Source organism: Homo sapiens, chromosome 21 (assembly GCF_000001405.40).
Source record: "Homo sapiens chromosome 21, GRCh38.p14 Primary Assembly".
In the NCBI taxonomy this organism is placed as follows: Eukaryota; Metazoa; Chordata; class Mammalia; order Primates; family Hominidae; genus Homo; species Homo sapiens.
This window is the reverse complement of record NC_000021.9, coordinates 34426946-34445654: the sequence shown is the minus strand read 5'-3', so window position 1 is coordinate 34445654 and position 18709 is coordinate 34426946. Positions and strand designations below refer to the sequence as shown.

Sequence of the window (18709 nt, the reverse complement as noted above, 5' to 3'; positions counted from 1 at the left end):
CTAGACAGAGCAGGGAATGCGGGCACCATCGGATGAACTTCTAGGTATTGTTGGAGAAGCTGTGAACTCTTCTAATGTTTGCACATTGGCAACTAATTTACTTTTTAAAACTTGAGTGGGTCAAACGAAATATAACCCTGAGCTGGATTCTTCCCAGAGACCACTGATTAACTGCCTGTGCTTTACAGAAAAAGAATAGCTCCCAGGCAGGCCCATGCCACACCTGACAGAAGCATAAACAGACTCAGGGCTAGGGTGTGGTGGCTCACGCCTGTAATCCCAACACTTTGGGAGGCCTAGGCGGGTGGATCACCTGAGGTCAGGAGTTTGAGACCAGCCTGGCCAACATGGCGAAACCCCATTTCTACTAAAAGTACAAAAATTAGCTGGGTGTGGTGGTGGGTGCCTGTAATCCCAGCCACTTGGGAGCCTGAAGTGGGAGAATCGCTTGAACCCGGGAGGTGGAGGTTGCAGTGAGCCAAGAGTGTGCCACTGCACTCCAGCCTGGGCAACAGAGCAAGACTCCATTTCAAAAAAAAATAGAAAGAAGGAAAAAGAAAAAGAAAGAAAAGAAAGAAAGAAGAAAGAAGAAAGGAAGGAAGGAAGGAAGGAAAAGAGGAAAAGAAAGAAAAAAGAAAAGAAGAGAAGAGAAGAGAAAAGAAAAGAAAAGGAAAGAAAAGAGGAACTCTGCCCAGCCATGTTGGCAGGAACAGGCATGTCCTCGAGTGTGGTCCTGGGGCCAAGGGACCCAGAGGTCCCAGCCTCATGATGAAAGGCTGCATCAGGCTGTCCTCACCTGACACTGTGAGAACATCCCATTAATCTGATCCTCTCATTTAGATTCTGGATTCCATAATCTTTGCATCTCCAGGCCAGGCTGTGTGAGCACAGAATAATACATGTGGCTGTCTTGAGAGCGTGCCCTATCTAAAATCCACATCAGTGTATGACTTCTCTATGGGCGCAAATGAGATGTAAACACTAGATCAGGTGAGGAGAGATAAGTAAAGGATACCAGTGCTTGAAGACAAAAGAAATGGACATAAAGCTATGAATGGGTAGATAGGGGCTGGTACTTTTTTTTTTTTTTTTTGAGATAGGGTCTGGCTCTCTCACCCAGGCTGGAGTACAGTGGTGCAATCATAGCTCACTGCAGCCTCGCCCTCCCAGACTCAAGCCAGACTCCCACCCTCCCAGACTCAAGCTATCCTCCCACCTTGGCCTCCTGAGTAGCTGGGACTATAGACTCAAACCACCATGCCCAGGTAATTTTTTCTGGGGTCGGGATGGAGGGCTGAGTTTCACTCTGTTGCCCAGGCTGGAGTGCAGTGGTGTAATCTCGGCTCGCTGCAACCTCTGCCTCCCAGATTCAACCAATTCTGCTGTCTCAGCCTCCCGAGTAGCTGGGATTACAGGTGCCCACCGCCACACCCAGCTAATTTTTGTATTTTTAGTAGAAACGGGGTTTCACCATGCTGACCAGGCTGGTCTCGAACTCCTGTCCTCAGGTGATCCACCTGCCTTGGCCTCCCAAAGTTCTGGGATGACAGGCCTGAGCCACCATGAGTGGCGCCCAGCTAATTTTTAAATTTTTTGTAGAGATGGGGTCTCACTATGTTGCCCAGGCTGGTCTCCAATGTCTGGGCTCCAACGATCCTCTCACCTTGGCATCCCAAAGTGCTGGGGTTACAGGCATGAGCCACTGCACCCAGCTTCTGGTAAAGTCTTTGAGTAAACAGAATAATTGCATAAATAAAACAAATCTTAATACAAAAAATGAGTCAGGAGATTTAAAGCAATTGGCTCCTCAAGCACATTGGTCTGTCTATTTACCTGAGGTCAGTAAAGCAGTAGCCAAGTTATCACAGATATTCCCCCAAAATACTGGAATTTGTTGATCTGCAGGTGCAGTGGAAGGCAGTCTGGGTGCTGCTGCCCCCTGGTGGTCACTTTGAGGATATTGCTCAATGCACAGGGAACCCTGAGGACCGGGCAGCCAGGCAGGTGCCTGCTGGGGCTGGGTAAGGGGCTCTGAGTGCCTTTAGATGCCCCTGGGAGGCTACACTTCTATTCAGCCATCAAGTTCAGGGAGACGGGGCCCATCGTGGGCACGACTATGAAATGGGAGGATGGATGCTGAGAAAGAGAAGCATTCTTCTAGAAGTTCCTTGCAAGGTAGCTCCTCTGAACAAAGGCCCTGGAGTCACAGCTCTAAATCCCTGAGAAGTTGCTAGGACCCCCTTCTCACTTCCTTTGGGCAGGAACCTGTTTAGCTCCCTCCCCTATCCCAGGAATATTCAGCACCTGGAAAATAATCTCTCCCCCAGACCTAAGTCCCTTTTGGTTTCAGGCCTGTGATCACTCATGCTATGCATGGAGAAGAGATTCCACCTCCTAGGTATCCCTAGACTCAGATCTTTTTATCACCTTCTATTCACCCCATTCGTGAGGGAAGGAGTCCCACTCTAGGGCTGGACACACAACACCCAACACTGGATAGGTGAGACCCACGGCAATTTTCTAGTCACATATACTCGTAGCCCAGGGGAAGGGCCACTGCAGGCTATGCAGGGCCACATGAGGTGGTGCTCAAGAGCAGAGTGAACAGCAGGGTTGTTGGACAGCAGGTTTGGTAGTAACAAGAGTGATATGGTTTGGCCGTGACCCCTTCCACATCTCATCTTGAATTGTAATTCCCATAATCCCCACATGTCGTGGGAGGGACCCAGTGGGAGGTGATTGAATCATGTGGGGGTTACCTCCATGCTGTTCTCATGACAGTGAGTGAATTCTCATGAGATCTGATGGATTTATAAGGGACTTTTCCCCCTTTTGCTCAGCACTTCTCCTTCCTGCTGCCACGTGAAGGAGGACATGTTTGCCTCCCCTTCTACCATGATTGTAGGTTTTCTGAGGCCTCCCAAGCCATGTGGAACTGTGAGTCAATTAAACTTCTTTTCTTTATAAATTACCCAGTCTTGGGTATCTTTATTAGCTGCCTGAGAACAGGCTAATACAGAGGGTGGAGTGGCCCCTGGTTTCTTCATGAGGTTGTTAAATAATTCCGCAGACTGGCAGGGAACTGAAGCCTGCTACTTGGCAACAAACAGGGGTGGTACCTGGTCCCTGGGATGAGAAGGGTTGCCCAGCTGGGAGACCCTATTTATGGGAGCAGAGGTGGGACAGGAGCTTGCATTTAGGCCACTTGAGGCCCTTCACATTTTACCACATGTCAAGGCAGCACGTAACATTGGCCTTGATTTTATGCTTTATGCCGCTGCTAGAGATGGCTGGGCAGGTGCTGCACTGAGTCCAGCACTGGGCCTTAGGGGATGAGCAGGGGGTGAAACCCAGCCCCACTTCCCTAGCTGAGCCAGGGGCCCTGGAGTGGGGCAGTGGCTGCCTGGTAGGAGGAGTGCCTCTCCAGTTTGCTGGAAGGACACCATCTGGGCTCTTGGGCCTCTGCAGCCGGCTTGAACTCCCACATCCTTTCCTCCTCCAGCACCTGCCTCTGAAGGTGGATGAGGTCACCATTGCAGCCTCCCCAGGAGTAGGGAGAAAGGGACAATGAGAGGAATCAGTGGAGAAATTCCACACCTTCCGATGGCCTCGCACATCACGAAAGGGGGTGAGAACAAGGCAGCAGGAGCAGGAGGGCCTCCATCTTGGATGGGATTAAAAATCTAAGCTGCTTTTCTTCCGAGGCTCAGCGAATTAGGGTAGTAAGGTGAGTGTCCCAGTTCCTGTCTTGTCATAGAGAGGAGGAATGAGAGAAGTTGCTGCTTGTCTCAGGCTTCCACAGAATGGAAGGCCAGGTCCCTGTCACGGCCCCGTCATGCCCCGGCCTGCTCATCCACTCCTCTGTCCCCACGTGGTGTCTCTCCCCTCACGCCAGACAATCCTCAGACACAAGCCCCCTCATGCAGTTTCACAGCAAGGAGATGGGCAGGTCCACTTCCAGTGGGTCAGGAAGGCTCCCCCAGCACCCGCGAAGGCAGGACTCGGGGTCACTTGGCAATGAAAGGCCTGAGTTAATGTGAGGAATGGAGAATCCACAAGCTTTGAGGGAAAACTGGGAGATGCAGAGAGAGGAACCCAGGCTTCAAGAGGACTTTCAAAACACAGCTTTTCTAGGAAAATTAAGTGGGTGATTATCTTATTTCCTGTGGCTGCCATAACCAATGACCACAAAAATCAGTGGCTTCAAACAACAGAAATGTAATCTCTCATGGTTCTGGAGGCTGGAAGTCCAAAATTAAGGTACCAGCAGGGCCAGGCTTCCTCGTAGGCTCCATGCCTTCTGAGGATCCTTCCTGCCTCTCTCAACTGCAGGTGGCCGCTTGCATCCCTTGGCTTGTGGCTGCATCACTGTCTCCTCCACCTCCATCTTCACGTGGCCTTCTCTCCTGTGTGTCTGTATGCCCTTTCATGTCTCTTATAAAACATTTATCCAATTTTACCATAAGCTAATTAATATAAACAAGAGTTAAGTTCCTATGGCCTGTTTCTGGTCACAAAACATCACCAAACTTACAAAGACCTCAAACACTTCTAATACTAAACATTGAAATAAATGTGAGCCATACATACATTTAGGAAAGATTAATACAAACAAGTGAAAGCTGAGCACGGTGGCTCACGCCTGTAATCCCAGCACTTTGGGAGGCTGAGGCAGGCAGATCACCTGAGGTCAAGAGTTCAAGACCAGCCTGGCCAACGTGGCAAAATCCTGATTCTACTAAAAATACAAAAATTAGCTGGGCATGGTGGCGCATGCCTGTAGTCCCAGCTACTCAGTAGGCTGAGACACAGGAATCACTTGAACCCTGGAGGTGGAGGTTGCAGTGAGCCGAGTTAGTGCCACTGCACTTTAGCCTGGGCAACAGAGTGAGACTCTGTCACAAAAACAAACAAACAACAACAACAACAAAAAACAAGCGAGAATATTATTGACTGGCTTATTCCACTTCAGAGCTGTGGATGGCAGAGCCCATCCCAGAGGCACAGGGTCAAGGCAGACACCAACCCTGGACAGGGTCCTCTTCCATCATAGGGCACACTCACCCACTTCCACACTCGCTCACACTGGGACCATGTAGACATGCCAGTTCACCTACCGTGCATAGCTTTGGGATGTGGGAGGAAACTGGAGGACCCAGAGGAAACCCACACAGACATGGGGAGAACGCACACCCTCCACAGAGACAGTGGCCTGGCTAGGAATTGACTTTTTTTTCTCATCAACTTTATAGCAAAATGATGTTGAATGAGATAGTGTCATCCAAGGACCTGCTGTATAATGACATGTATCCACCATCGTAGTAATATACAGAGCATTTTCGCTGCCCTTAAAGTCCTCTATGCTCTACCTGGTTATCTTCCCCCCACCCGTCTCAACTGCTGGCAACCACTGATGTTTTCACCATAGTTTTGCCTTTTTCAGAATGTCACATAGTTAGAGTCATACAGTATGTAGCTTTTCATAAGGGCTTCTTTCACTCAGTCATATGCATTTCAGTTTCCTCCATGTCTTTTCATGTCTTGATAGCTCATTTCTTTTTAGCACTGAATAATATTCTACTGTGTGGATACACCACAGTTTATTTATCCATTCACCTACTGATGGACATCTTGTTTGCTTCCAAGTTTGGGCAATAATAAATAAAGCTTGCTATGAGCATCTGTGTGCAAGTTTTTGTGTGGTTACAAGTTTTCAACTCCTTTGGGTAGATACCTAGGAATACAGTTTCTGGATCGTATGGTAAGAGTACACGCCGTTTTGTAAAGAGCTGCCAAACTGTGTTCCAAACTGGCTGCACTATTTTGCATTACCATCAGCAATGAATGCGGATAAAAAACGCCACATCCTTACCAGCATTTGGTGTTGTCAGTGTTCTGGGTTTTGGCCATTCCAATAGGTGTGTAGCCCACTGTATTCATCAGGGTTCTCTAGAGGGACAGAACTAATGGAATGAATATATGTATATGTATATATATAGTATATGTATATATATGTGTATATATGTATTTATGTATATGTGTATATATGTATATATGTATACGTGTATATATGTATATATGTATATGTGTATATATATGTGTATATATGTATATGTGTATATATATGTATGTGTATATATGTATATATGTATATACATATATTCCAGTATATGTGTGTATACACACACACACACACACACATATATATACACACACACACACATAATATAAACAGGAGTTTATTAAGTATTAACTCACACAATCATAAGGTCCCACAATAGGCTGTCTGCAAGCTGAGAAGCCAGAAGAACCTCCTGAGTAGCTGGGATTACTGGCATGCACCACCATGCCCCACCATGCCCAGCTAATTTTTGTATTTTTGGTAGAGACGGGGTTTTGCCATGTTGGCCAGACTGATCTTGAACTCCTGACCTCAAGTGATCCCCCAGCCTCGAGCCACCATGCCCAGCCAGCTGGTCTGTTTCTTAATGTTAAAGTCTTTGACTATTAAAAAATTGGACAGCTTATTGTATGTGTTACAAATGTTTCCCCCATTATCATTGATCTCTTGACTTTTTGATAGCATTTTTTGCCATAAAGAAATGTCTAACTTTGTGTAGTTGGATTTATCAGTCTTTTTTTAATGATTTCTGACTTTTGTGCCACACTTGGAAAGATTGCCACCGTCTGGGATTATAAAAATAAATCTCTCATGTTTGCTCTAGTTCTTTCATGGCTTTATTTAAACATATATAGATATATAAAATCTTAGCCCCATCTGGAATGTATTTTGGTGTGTGTAGAGCTCCAGTTTTACTCTTTCCCAGTCTACTCAATCGTCCCATTCATTTCTGAGATAACTAATCTTTTCTCCATTGATTTGAAATGTCCCCTTTATTTTATACTGTTTTCCTGAATGTTTTCAGTCTATTTCTGGATTTTATTCTGTTCCACTGATCTATCTGCCTGTTTATTTATTTATTTGTTTGTTTGTTTATTTTAATTTTGAGATAGAGTCTTGCTCTGTCGCCCAGGATGGAGTGCAGTGGTGCAATCTCGGCTTACTGCAACCTCTGCTTCCCAGGGTCCAGCAATTCTCCTGCCTCGGCCTGCCAAGTAGCTGGGACTACAGGTGCGTGCCACCATGCCTGGCTAATTTTTGTATTTTTAGTACAGACGAGGTTTCACCATGTTGGCCAGGCTGGTCTCGAACTCCTGACCTCGGGTGATCCACCAGCCTCGGCCTCACAAAGTGCTGGGATTACAGGCATGAGTCACCATGCCCAGCCCCTTGTCTGCTTGTTTATATGCTAGGATCAAACACTTTTAATTTCTGTGGCTTTCCAAAATGTTTTAACATCTTTTGGTGATATTTTCTTTCATTACTTTTTCCCTGGAATTTCCTTGGCTATTTTTGCATATTCGATTTTCCATAAAAATATTAGCATCAACTTGTCTCTGTTAATTTCGATGAGGCAAAACCCTCAAGCTCTTTGTTTAAATAAGAAATCTAACATATTTGTTTATCCCCTGCCTCCTGTGAGAGAAGAGAGAAACCAAAGAAAGTTCGCAAAGGCTTATACCTTTGAGGAAACAGAGGTATCAATTTAAATATCTCTGCCAGAGCCAATCAGTCTGAATTTTAGCCTTTGGGGAAGTTAGGGTTGCTTTTCTTGGGCAGAGCATCAGCCTCTGAAATCCAGGGGATTTACTTCCTCCTTTGTTAAAATGACATAGGCAAGGATAGGTGTTTGTTTGTTTGTTTGTTTTGAGATAGAGTCTCACTCTTTTCACCCAGGCTGGAGTGCAGTGGCACTATCTCAGCTCACTGCAACCTCCACGTCCCAGGTTCAAGCAATTCTCCTGCCTCAGCCTCCCAAGTAGGTGGGATTACAGGTGTGCGCCACCACCCAACTAATTTTTGTATTTTTAGTAGAGACGGGGTTTCACCTTGTTGGCCAGGCTGGCCTCGAACTCCTGACCTCAGGTGACCTGCCTGCCTTGGCCTCCCAAGTTGCTGAGATTACAGACGTGAGCCACTGCGCCTAGCCAAGAATAGGCGTTTATCACGCAGGATGCTATCTGCCACTCTCTGCAGCTGCAGGAAAAAAAAAGAACATTTTTTTCCTTTTAATTTTGCTGCAACTTTGCTGTGATTTTTCAAGCCTTAAAGCTGGAACTTTATTCATTGGTGCCGAGAGAAAGAAAGGCAGGTCTGAAAAGCACAAAATATGTCATTAGAAAGGAAAAGGGAAGAAGAAAATCACTAAATGGAATATTTGGCATTCAGTGTAGTCTGGAAAACAAAACAAAAACAGCACAACAACAACAAAACAAGGGAAATTTCCATTGGAATTATACTAAATTTATAGATTAATTCAGGAAGGATTGTCATCTTTATGCAGATGAGTCTTTCTACCCAAGACTAGGAAATATACTTGCATGTAGTCAAATCTTCCGTTTTGTCCCTCTGTTGTTTAGATTTTCTTTGTGTAAATTTTGTGCAACTCTTGGGTGTTCTATCTTTGGGGTTTCCTATTGTAAATGGAATCTTCTATTCAATTATATCTCAAAGATATTGTTGTTAATATAGATTCTTGGATATTGTTTTGTAAAAACATTTATTTTGTGCCCCCTGAGCTTCCTGAATTATCCTGCTCTTTCTAATGGTTTTGCAATTGATTCTCTTATTTTTTCCAATCATACAGTCAATGATTGTTTTTGCCACCTTCTTTCTAGTTTTTGTACCTCTTCCCCACTCTTGTCTAACTGAATTGGTAATTCCCCAGTGCAATACTAAATGGTGGTGGTGATAATGGGTAATTGGGTCTTATTTCTGACTAAACTGGGGTGCTTCTGTTATTTCAGCATTGAATATACATCTAATTGCTAACTTGAGATAATCACAGAGTGGATTTCCTAATATTGAACAACTCCTTCCACAAATCTTTTAATGCAGTGTTAGATCTATCAGCTAATATTGTATTTAGAATATTTACATCTATATCCATAAGTGGAGTTGGTCTGTGTTTTTCTTTTATTGTGGTTATTTGATTCTATAGTTATTGTTATGGAATCATTGACATGCAAGCTTCACAGGAATAATTTGGAAGGTTTTCTCCTTTCTCCATGCTCTCTAGAACAGTTTAAAAACATTAGTGTTTGCCAATGGCCATACTGCCCAAGGTAATTTATAGATTCAGTGGCATCCCCATCAAGCTACCAATGACTTTCTTCACAGAATTGGAAAAAACTACTTTAACGTCCATATGGAACCAAAAAAGAGCCCGCATTGCCAAGACAATTCTAAGCCAAAAGAACAAAGCTGGAGGCATCATGCTACCTGACTTCAAACTATACTACAAGGCTACAGTAACCAAAACAGCATGGTACTGGTACGAAAACAGAGACAGAACAGAACCAATGGAACAGAACAGAGCCCTTGGAAGTAATACCACACATCTACAACCACCTGATCTTTGACAAACCTGACAAAAACAAGAAATGGGGAAAGGATTCCCTATTTAATAAATGGTGTTGGGAAAACTGGCTAGCCATATGTAAAAAGCTGAAATTGGATCCCTTCTTTACACCTTATACAAAAATTAATTCAAGACGGATTAAAGACTTAAATGTCCGACCTAAAACCTAGAAGAAAACCTAGGCAATACCATTCAGGACATAGGCATGGGCAAGGACTTCACGTCTAAAACACCAAAAGCAATGGCAGCAAAAGCCAAAATTGACAAATGGGATCTAATTAAACTAAAGAGCTTCTGCACAGCAAAAGAAACTACCATCAGAGTGAACAGGCAACCTACAGAATGGGTGAAAATTTTTGCAATCTACCCACCTGACAAAGGGCTAATATCCAGAATCTACAAAGAACTTAAACAAATTTACAAGAAAAAAATCAAACAACCCCATCAAAAAGTGGGCAAAGGATATGAACAGACACTTTTCAAAAGAAGACATTTTTGCAGCCAACAGACACATGAAAAAACGCTCATCATCAATGGCCATCAGAGAAATGCAAATCAAAACCACAATGAGATACCATTTCACACCAGTTAGAAGGGCGATCATTAAAAGTCAGGAAACAACAGATGTTGGAGAGGATGTGGAGAAATAGGAACACTTTTACACTGTTGGTGGGACTGTAAAGTAGTTCAACCATTGTGGAAGACAGTGTGGCAATTCCTCAAGGATCTAGAACTAGAAATACCATTTGACCCAGCCGTCCCATTACAGGGTATATACCCAAAGGATTATAAATCATGCTGTTACAAAGACACATGCACATGTATGTTTATTGCGGCACTATTAACAATAGCAAAGACTTGGAACCAACCCAAATGTCCAGCAATGATAGACTGGATTAAGAAAATGTGGCACATATACACCGTGGAATACTAAGCAGCCATAAAAAAGGATGAGTTCATGTCCTTTGTAGGGATATGGATGCAGCTGGAAACCATCATTCTGAGCAAACTATTGAAAGGACAGAAGACCAAACACCGCATGTTCTCACTCATAGGTGGGAATTGAACAATGAGAACACTTGAACACAGAGTGGGGAACATCACACACTGGGGCCTGTCGTGGGGAGAGGGGAGGGGGAAGGGATAGCATTAGGAGATATACCTAATGTAAATGACGAGTTAATGGGTGCAGTACACCAACATGGCACACGTATACATATGTAACAAAACTGCACGTTGTACACATGTACCCTAGAACTTAAAGTATAATTAAAAATAAAAATTAAAAAAAATTAGCGTTTGCCAATCAATAAAGTTTTAATAGGATGCACTTGCAAAGCTGTTGGAACCAGATGCTTCTCTGGGTAAATGACTTTTTATCAAGGTTTTTACCATCTCTGTGATAAACGATATTTTCTGATTTTTAAAATCTCTTTGGTGGTCAGTTTTGGTAATTTATATTTTCCTAGAAAATCATCCATTTGGTCAAGATTTTGAATCTATTTGCAGAGGGATTGAGGAGTCACTCATTTGATATCCTCTGTGTCTACAATTATTTCATTCACAATTCTTATTTTGTATATTTGTTCTTTCTCCTTTGTTTCTTTATTAGGATAGTTAATGATTTTTTCATTTCTTTCTTTCTTTTTCTTCAAGGAACCAACCGCTAGATGTATTATAGATGTTTTTTTTTTCATTATTTTTGCTCTCATCTTTTCCAATTGCTTTTTTTCCCCCCTGCTTTCTTTGGGTTTATTTTGTTATTCATTTCTTAATATCATTAGGTGCTTAATTTCAAATTTTAAAGCAGCGTTACTTGGATGAAATGTACATACCATTGTAAGGGTATAGTCTGATAATTTTTTGTTAATTTATACAGTTGTGAACCATTACCACAATCCAGCATAAGAACATTTCCATCAGCCCAGAAAGCAACCTCCTGCCTGCTTGTATCAACCCTTGCCTCCGTCTCTAGCCCCTGGCAGTCACTGATCTGCTGTCTCTACAGTTTTGCTTTCTCTAGAAATGTCAAATAAATACAGTCCTACACCTTGTGGTCTTCTGTGTCTGGTTTCTTTCACTCAGAATAATGTTTCTAAGGTTCATGAAGGTTTATTGTTGAATTATTTGTAAGAATGTTGGTTTTCCATTCATAGTTAATGGACATTTGGATTCCTTCCAATTTGGTGTTATTACAAATAGGGCTGATATGAACATTATGCACAAGTCCCCTTGTGTGGACATGTATTTTTATTTTTCTTGGGTAGATACCTAGGAGTGGAATTGTTGGGTCATATAATAAGTTTAAATTTTTAAGAAAATGCCAAACTGTTTTCCAGAATAGCTGTATCATTTAACATTGCCACTGGCAAGGTATGAGAGTTTCTGTTTTTCCACATCCTTACCAGCACTCAGTATTGTCCATTTTTTTAAAATTATAGCCATTCTGGCAGGTGTGTAGTGATATATTATGGTGGTTTTAGTTCGTATTTCCTTAATGACTAAATGATGTTGAGCATCTTTTCATGTGCTGATTAGCCATTTGTATTTTTTCCTTGGTGAAACATCTGTTCAAATATTTTTCCTACATTTTACTGGGTTGTTTGTCCTCTTTTATTAAATTGTAAGACTATTTCATATATTCTGAATGAAAGTCCTTTATCAAATATATAACTTGCAATTATCATCTCCCCATCTGTGTGGCCTGTATTTTCTTTCTTTTTTTTTTTTTTTTTTTTTGAGACAGAGTCTTGCTCTGTCACCCAGGCTGGAGTTCAGTGGCGCAATCTCGGCTCACTGCAAGCTCTTCCTCCCGGGTTCACGCCATTCTCCTGCCTCAGCCTCCCGAGTAGCTGGGACTACAGGTGCCCACCACCATGCCTGGTTAATTTTTTTGTATTTTTTTAGTAGAAACGAGGTTTCACCGTGTTAGCCAGGATGGTCTCGATCTCCTGACCTCATGATCCACCCGCCTCGGCCTCCCAAAGTGCTGGGATTACGGACGTGAGTCACTGCGCCCAGCCTGCCTCCCAGGTTCAAGCGATTCTCCTGCCTCAGCCTCCTGAGTAGCTGGGATTACAGTGCACGCCACCACACTCAGCTAATTTTTTGTATTTTTAGTAGAGACAGGTTTCACCATGTTGGTCAGGCTGATCGCGAACTCCTGACCTCGAGATCTGCCTGCCTCGGCCTCCCGAAGTGCTGGGACCACAGGCCTGAGCCACCACGTCTGGCCTATTTGTTCTTTTATGCACCGAACAGTAAATTCAAATTACCTACCTCTAAACTGTTTCTTCATTTTTTTCTTACTCTCTATAAATTTTTCTTTATGAGTTTTGATGCTGGTTTATCTTCTGCATAGATAGTCATGATGTTAGCTGACCAGTGTGGATTATGAAGTATCTCCCTTTATCTTATTTAAATGCTCCCTGCATTGAATTCAACATAAATGATATTAATAGGGAGATTTCTTTTTTATGTTCGTATTTGCTTTATGCATTATGCCCATTCTTTTTGTGTCAATATAATTAAGTGATTTGTTAGTAATTGGAAAGTGACTTAGAACATGCCCAGCTCATGGTGAGTACTAATTAAGTATTTGCTAAGAATAAAAAATAAAGGCTTTTTGTATGTCCTGTATACAGAACATCATGCCAAGAGGAAACCCCCAGGAAAATTAAGTAATTACTCTTTCTTTAGTCCGGGGCAACCACAATCTGCTTTTGGTCTCAATGGATATTTTTTACCTTTTCTGGACATTTTATATCAATGAAATCATATAATTCATGTCCTTTCGCATCTGGCTTATTTCACTTAGCATAATGTTTTCAAGGGTCTTTGATGTTCTGGCAATGTACCAGCACTTCACTCCTTTTTATGGCTCAACAATATTCTACTGTATGGATAGACCATGTGTTGTTTATTGATTCATCCATTGGTAGACATGTGGGTTATTTCCACCTTTTGGTTTCCGTTAATAATCTGAACACTCATGTGCAAGTATTTCTTTGAATAGCTGTTTTCAGTTCTTTGGGGTATATACCAAGGAGTGGAAGTGGTGGATATGGCAGTTCTATGATTAATGTGCTTTTCCTCTATTTATTTTTTATTTGATTTTTATAGAGACAGGGTCTTGCTATGTTACCAAGGCTGCTCTCAAACTCCTGGGCTCAAACAGTCCTCTCACCTTGGCCTCTCGAAGTGCTGGAATTATAGGCGGGAGCCACCATGCCCAGGCTTTCTAGGATTAACGTTTTGAAGAGCCACTATATTCTCTTCCATAGCAGATGCATCATATTATATTCCCACCAGCAGTGTACTATGGCTGCTGTGGGGAAATATGACATTTCCCCACATCCTCACCAGCAAGTGTTAATTCCTTTTTATGTGTGAAGTGGTATCTCATTGTGGTTTAATTTGTGTTTCTTTCATTACTAATGATTCTGAGCATCTTTTCATGTGCTTGTTAGCCATTCATTCTGGTGATTGTTTTTAATCATACCTTCTTATAATATACTCAGTCCTTCATTTCTCAGGAAATATCTATTGATCATCTAATATAGGTGAAGATAAAAGAGGAATATTACTATTTTTTCTGCCTATCCCAACCACCTTCTCTGGCAATTCTTTCTAAAGAAGGATCTTCTCCCCAACCTCCTTATTGCTGATTTCTGCATCTTATTTCTTTTTTTATGGCTCAAATCCCAGTATTTTTTTTTTTACTGTTTATTGCTTGCTTACTTTTTTTTTGCTTCTCTTCCCACTAGATATAAGTTCCATGCGGGCAACTAATCTGTCTATCTTGTTCTGTTTGTAACCCCAGCACTTACCTAGTGCAGTATCGGACTGGCAGACAGTAAGCTTTAATAAATATTTTTAAATAAATATCTGAATGAATGAACCACAATAAGTTCAGTTTCATTCGCGATGACTCCCCTATAGGATATGCATAATAATGATAGACTTAAGGACTTATATTTATATCTACATGTGTTAGTTTTCAGAAACTGCTATCATCAATTGAGGTAGGAAGTTGAACTTGACTCCAAAGGCAGGGCGCGGATACTGGACCATATTAAGGACTAGCTAAAACAGGTACAGGGCGGAAGCACCTTTCCATGGGACACGCCCACCAGTGTGTGCCACATACTATGGAGTTCACCGGAAGTTGCGGCCCCTTTCCATGGCAACAACCCGACAACCTGGAAATTAGCACTCTTTTTCTAAAATTTTCTGCATAATCTGCCCCTTAATTTGCATATAATTAAAAGTGGGTGTAAATAGGACTACAGAACTGCCTTCGAGCTGCTACTCTGGGCACACTGCCTATGGGGTAGCCCTGCTCTGCAAAGAGCAGGACCTCTGCTGCTGCTGTCCACTGCTGCTTCAACAGAAGTTGCTGTCTAATACCACCAGCTTGCCCTTGAATTCCTTCCTGAATGAACCCAAGAACCCTCTCAGGCTACAACCCAATTTGGGGGCTTGCCTGCCCTGCATCAAAATAACCACAAACTTGGTGGATTAGAAAAACAGATATCTATTCTCTCTTAGTTCTGGAGACCAGCTCAAAATCAAAGCGTTGGCAGGACGCTACTCCCTGTGAAGGCTCTAGGGGAGGACCTTTTCTTGCCTCTCCCAACCTCTGGTGGCTCCAGGCATTCTGCGGCTTGAGGCTGCATCACTCCAATCCCTGCCTCCATCTTCACATCTTCTTCCCTGTGTCTCTTTCTTTTCCTTTTCTGTCTCTTATAAGGACATTTGCCATTGGATACAAGGTCCACTGTAATCCAGGACGATCTCACCTCAAGATTCTCACCTTACTTACTTCTGCAAGAGCCCTTATTCCAAATAAGGTCACATGCTGAGGTTCCAGGTGAACATATCTTTTAGGGAGACACCATTCAACCCACTGCACCAACTAATTAAGTTCTGCACATTCTACCTTCTAAAAATCTCTTGGATCCATCGACTTCTCTCCAGACTTGCTCCCACTCCTTCTTTCAAATACTGTCATCTCCTGCCTGGATTATGCCTGCAGCTGCCTAACTTGTTTCTCTGCCTCCAGTTCTGTGCCTGTTCAATCCACACTCTGTGATGCAGCCGGAGTGATCTAAAACAGGCGGGTTTTGTCTTTTGCTGAGCATGTGCTGCAGACCGGCTCCATCACTGGCCCCCATCTTAATGCTACAGTGATTGCCCACAGCAGGTTCCTGACTTAGGCTAGTCAGAGCCATCCCCTGGGATTTTCGTGGCTGAACAGGCAGGAAAGTACCTCTCTGCCATCTACTGGTGGAAGTGTTGCAGTGTGAGTCTGAGCACCAGGTGCCACAGCTTGTGTGCTTCTCTGCAGTCGGAGGAAATTAGGCCAACCTGCTGAGAGAGGCAGAGATGGAAGACAGGAGGGGGACAGAGAACCCTGGGGACCCTCCTTCCTGCATCCAGCCCCTTGGCTAGCCCTCCCCTTCCTCTCTCTTCCTCACATGAACCAGTAAACTCTCCCTTGTTACTAACTCTGGTTGAGATGTGGCTTTGCACTCTGGAGCATCCCGACTGTAACCATCATCCTTACAGACAAGACTCATGGGATCTGATAACCACACAGCTTTATTTCTGCCCCCACTGTTTCTTTAAATCTCTTCTGCGGGCCCCACATACACTGGAGTTTGATCTTGCCCTGCACCTATAGTCATGATAGGTTGGAAAATATAGTCTTAATTCAGTAATTAAGATGTGCAGTCTTATGTCATAAACAAAATTCTGAATTTGATTTAAGGCTGGGGCTCCTCCCTGTCCCAGCTAGGGCCTGCTGTGGGCAGGAGAACTGCAGCTGGGAGAGTGGGCAGCTCAGCTGGTATCTTCCTTTCATTGGGACTCTTCTGTTTCTGTTCCCATGCCCCAAATCCCCCAGATTTGTAAACTGTGGCTTCTGGCCGGGTGCGGTGGCTTACGCCTATAATCTCAGAACTTTGGGAGGCTGAGGTGGGTGATCACCAGAGGTCAGGAATTCAAGACCAGCCTGGCCAACATGGTGAAATCCTGACTCTACTAAAAATGCAGAAATTAGATTGGCATGGTGGCAGGCACCTGTAGTCCCAGCTACTCGGGAGGCTGAGGCAGGAGAATTGCTTGAACCTGGGAGACGGAGGTTGCAGTGAACCAAGATCACACCACTGAACTCCAGATTGGGCAACAGAGCAAGACTCCCTCAAGAAAAAAACAAAAACAAAAAACAAAAAACAAACTGTAGCTTCTGAGCTCCCCAGGACTGAAGCTAGGAAAAGGAGAGAGCTGAGGGAGCAAAACAGTCTTGTCTGTCTGTTCTGTGATGTAAACTAGCAGAGGCAAGTGTTTAGAGCTAATACCTTCCCTGTGAGCACATTCTTGAAGTCTCAGAAGACCCTGAAGCATCATATGGCCAACTGCACCAGGCCGGTGTTTCAACAGCGTCCCCATGTGGCAGCTAGAAGCAATAGCACAGAGGAGTGTTCAGATGCTAGTCCTCTCTGATTGGCTGAGGAGGCCAGGCCAACCACCCTACTCATTCTGGACAAAGCCGCTTGGAGTCCTGGCCAACCCAGGAGGCTTTAAGAGGGAGGCGAATATAGGTTGTCCTGCCAGCCAGGCAGCCGAGGACGCAAGTAATTAACTGAGAGAAGAAATGAGCTGTGACAATATTTGCCCTCTTTGGCTTGGGGAGCCATTCCACAAATGTCATCATATGTTTTTTTTTGTTTTTTTTTTTTTTTTTACAGCAGAGGGATGAAGTGACTTGGCTGTAATCCCACAATTAGTAAATGATCAAGTCCCAACTGGAACATGGTTCTTCCAGTTCTAAAGGCCATGAGCTTTCCTTTGAACCTCCCTAAAGATGAGTCCCTAAATGCTGGATAAGAGAAAAATGAAGTTAAAAGGAAGGACAAAGGTGACATATAAATTAAAGATTTTAAACATATGTGATGCCTCTTTAACCTCCAGGAGAGGAAAAAGCCTCTGGAGTCTGTGCTCTTAGCCAGGAGGGGATGGATGCAGGGCATCCTTTATCTGGAGACGCAGGGCAAGGAAGAGACTCAGTTGTTCTCTGCAGGGGTCCTTTACCGTCATTTTTAATGTCTTTTTGCACTGCAGGGCATCAGAGCTGACCGATGAGGTCTGTCTCCTCTAGAAAATTCTCCTTGGAAAGAATGTCAAGTGTGGATATGAACATTTATTTGTTGACATTTTAAAAATGCCAATACTGACCCCCTGAAATGCAAAGGCACTTCTTTTCTTTTTAAAATTTCTTTTGGAGTCAAGTCCACATCATTGCCACCTTTGCTCCCAATTTAGACACCTTTCTTCGAAGCTGACTGGCTTCTCAGTGGACAAAAAAGCCATTGCCCTCTGGGAGAGTTGGGTCTTTGATGTCAAGGGGACTGCAGGATATTGGAATTTGTTCTTCCAGAACTGTAGCTCATACAAATATTTACCAGGTGAGTGGCTTTGCTTGGTTGCGTTCAGGGCAATATTTGTCCAGACTGATCAGAGGCCTAAGGAAGGAGGTATCCACAAGTCAGAAGAAAATTCTTGGCCCTCGTGCTGATACAGGTTGTTCCATTTCACTGTTATGTAAGCACAGGGGAATGACCGGAGGCGGGCGTCATCCACACAGCATAGGGAAGCAGGCAGCTGCAGGGCCCCACACTGACCATGATCCCGACCACTCCCCCTCAAGGGACGGGGACACTCTTCGTGAGATGGCACCATGTGGCCAGATATAGAATCCTTAAAAATAGTATTTGTATTTTTCTATGAATACCTTAAACTTTGTTTTCCCACCATCTATCAGGGCTTTCTACATTAAAGAAACAACAGGGAAGCCAGGTGTGGTAGCACACCTCTGTAATCCCAGCTACTCAGGAGGCCGAGCAGAAGAATCGCTTGAACCTGGGAGGCAGGGGCTGCAGTGAGCTGAGATCACACCACTGAGCTCCAGCCTGGGTGACAGAGCAGGACAAGAAAACAAGAGAAAACAAAAACAAAAACAAAAACAAGACAACAGGAAGAGGTTTATATTGAAGCAGACGATGCATGCAAAAAAGTGCCTGTGCACAAGGCTACAGCTCTATGAAGTGTCTCAAATTGAACAAACCTGTAAAACAGAATATGACCGGCACCCAGAGTTCCCCTCATGCCCTTGTCATTTACCCTTCCCTGAAAAGTATCCACTATCCTGCCTTTTAACATCAGAG

At 43.5% G+C, this 18709-nt stretch overlaps 1 annotated feature.

The window, feature by feature from the left end:
* Positions 15449-15950: an enhancer, noted in NCBI's record as "NANOG hESC enhancer chr21:35802003-35802504 (GRCh37/hg19 assembly coordinates)". NCBI's record gives its function as "activates a minimal SCP1, AML or CMV promoter by ChIP-STARR-seq in primed H9 embryonic stem cells {active_cell/tissue: H9 hESC(primed)}" and the evidence as "EXISTENCE:reporter gene assay evidence [ECO:0000049][PMID:30033119]".